A 1965-nucleotide genomic window follows, 5' to 3' on the forward strand; every position below is an offset into this window, starting at 1 on the left:
CTTCTGCTTGGATATTATCTCTTGCCTGAGAGAAGAGATTTTATCCTCATCTCAATCTTGGGCTTGTCTCCCTGAATCCTAATTTCCTGCCAGGGTCAACCTGTTCTTGGGATGATTGGCAGTGGTATTATAATATTCATTCCCTTTAATGGAAGCCCCTCTCCCAATTACAGCAATATAATTGACTCAAAGACCCTGAAGAGAAAAATCACAAAAAGAGTGACACCCCTAAATAGACAAACTTCTTAAGCAGATTAAGTGAGTTACCTGTTTGGCAACAGCCTTTGTTTGAGCCATGTTTTTCACTTGGGGAGTTAATCTATCTAACCAAGGTCTTGAGAGCAGGGGATTTCTCCTTTCTCATCCATCCAGACCATGGGGCCAATGACCCTGGGAGCTTTACCTTCCCCTCAGGTGGCCCCTCCAAGTTGGTTATAAGGGAGTCAGCCAGGCCATTTGTCTTCCAGCCTAGCTTTATCTGTAATAAAGATGGTATTTGGTGCTCCATCTCTGCCTCTGCCATTTTATTTCTTGATTAGTTCAAGACCCAGGCAGAAGAGGAAATCTACGTATTAGGCTCCCAAAAAACCCCACAAATTCTGTCAATGACTTACTCTGTAAATTGAGGCAAACTGCTTTGTACCTCTGTTTTTCTGTCTATAAACTGAAGCCGTGGCAATAGCTATTGGATAAAGGTTTTTAAAAAGTGCTGTAAGTGATTGACTGAAAGATGTTAATTGCTGGCCCCATCCCCCTGTTAATATCGTAATCATTGTTTGGCAACATTTTCTAAATCGTATCTGAGAGCCTGGCTGCTGTGACGCATTGATTCATTGTGGTTGGCACCATATGCTTCCATCTGCTGTGAGCAGTATAATTGTTCTCAGTCATCAGCATCGAGCACCCATGGCTAATTCATGGGGAAAAACTCCAGTGCTTTGCACCAAAGTCCAACTCGTCTGTCAGTTCACTCCTGTGGAAGGGGGCCAGGCTCTCAGCATGCCTCTCCCTCCTGTCCTGGGCATTGGTCTCAATCAGACCAGGTACTCAGCTCTAGCTTTTCATGGCTACCAGTAAGGACAAGCCTTTCATTTCTGCAAAAAGAACTTCGCTTGACTTTTAGAATGAGATCCCTTGTTGGATCTTTGTTGCATATACATTTGATATGCTATTTTCAATACTAGTTGATCTGGGTTCAAATCCTACTTCTACCCTTCAGTAGCCTGACATTGGGCCAGTAACTACACCTCACTGAGGTTGGCGTTTCTTAACCTCCCTCTGAGATGTCACTTCTTCCTCTGTAGCATGGGGCAAATATCTACCTTGCCAAGGGTATGGTGAAGATTTAACTTAATTAGCTGGGGTAAGTAAAGCATTAAGCACAGTTCCTGGCTGATAGTAAGTGCTCAATAAATGGTAGTGACTATTGTCACTGGAGTGCCTATTCTTTGCTCACAGAGCATTTTGAAGACTGGTTATTATTTTAACTTTCTCCACAGGCATTTCTAGTTCTCTAGAAGCTTGCTCCTCAAATTATGGTCCTTGGAACAGCAGATGTTTATGATCAGCAGAGAAAACGTGTTGCTAATAAAGCATCCTGCACGCTAAAGCATTCAGGTGTGTGGGACTTAGGTTCATTCTTTCCAGGGTTAGGTTAGCTGCTGATGCAGCTAATATAGGCAGTCGTCCTTGTCGTAGGAGTTTCAGGAAAGCCAGGCTTGCTGGAGAATGCCATGTTAAAAGTGTATTCCCCAAGAGTGAATACTCCTTAATGCAAATAAATTCAAAATAACTTAGTTTCTGGTGGAGACGAGGAAACTTAAGCGAAGAGACTAATATTTCAGTAAGTAGGATGAGTCGGCAATTTGCTTGTTTGTGTGTGTGTGTTTATGTGTTTGGTCAGGTTCCAGATGACAATTGCTCTTCCATGTCTGAGGCACTTGGCTGGGGGACAGGAATGGCAGT

The sequence above is a fragment of the Homo sapiens genome, chromosome 7 (assembly GCF_000001405.40).
Source record: "Homo sapiens chromosome 7, GRCh38.p14 Primary Assembly".
NCBI classification, from domain to species: Eukaryota; Metazoa; Chordata; class Mammalia; order Primates; family Hominidae; genus Homo; species Homo sapiens.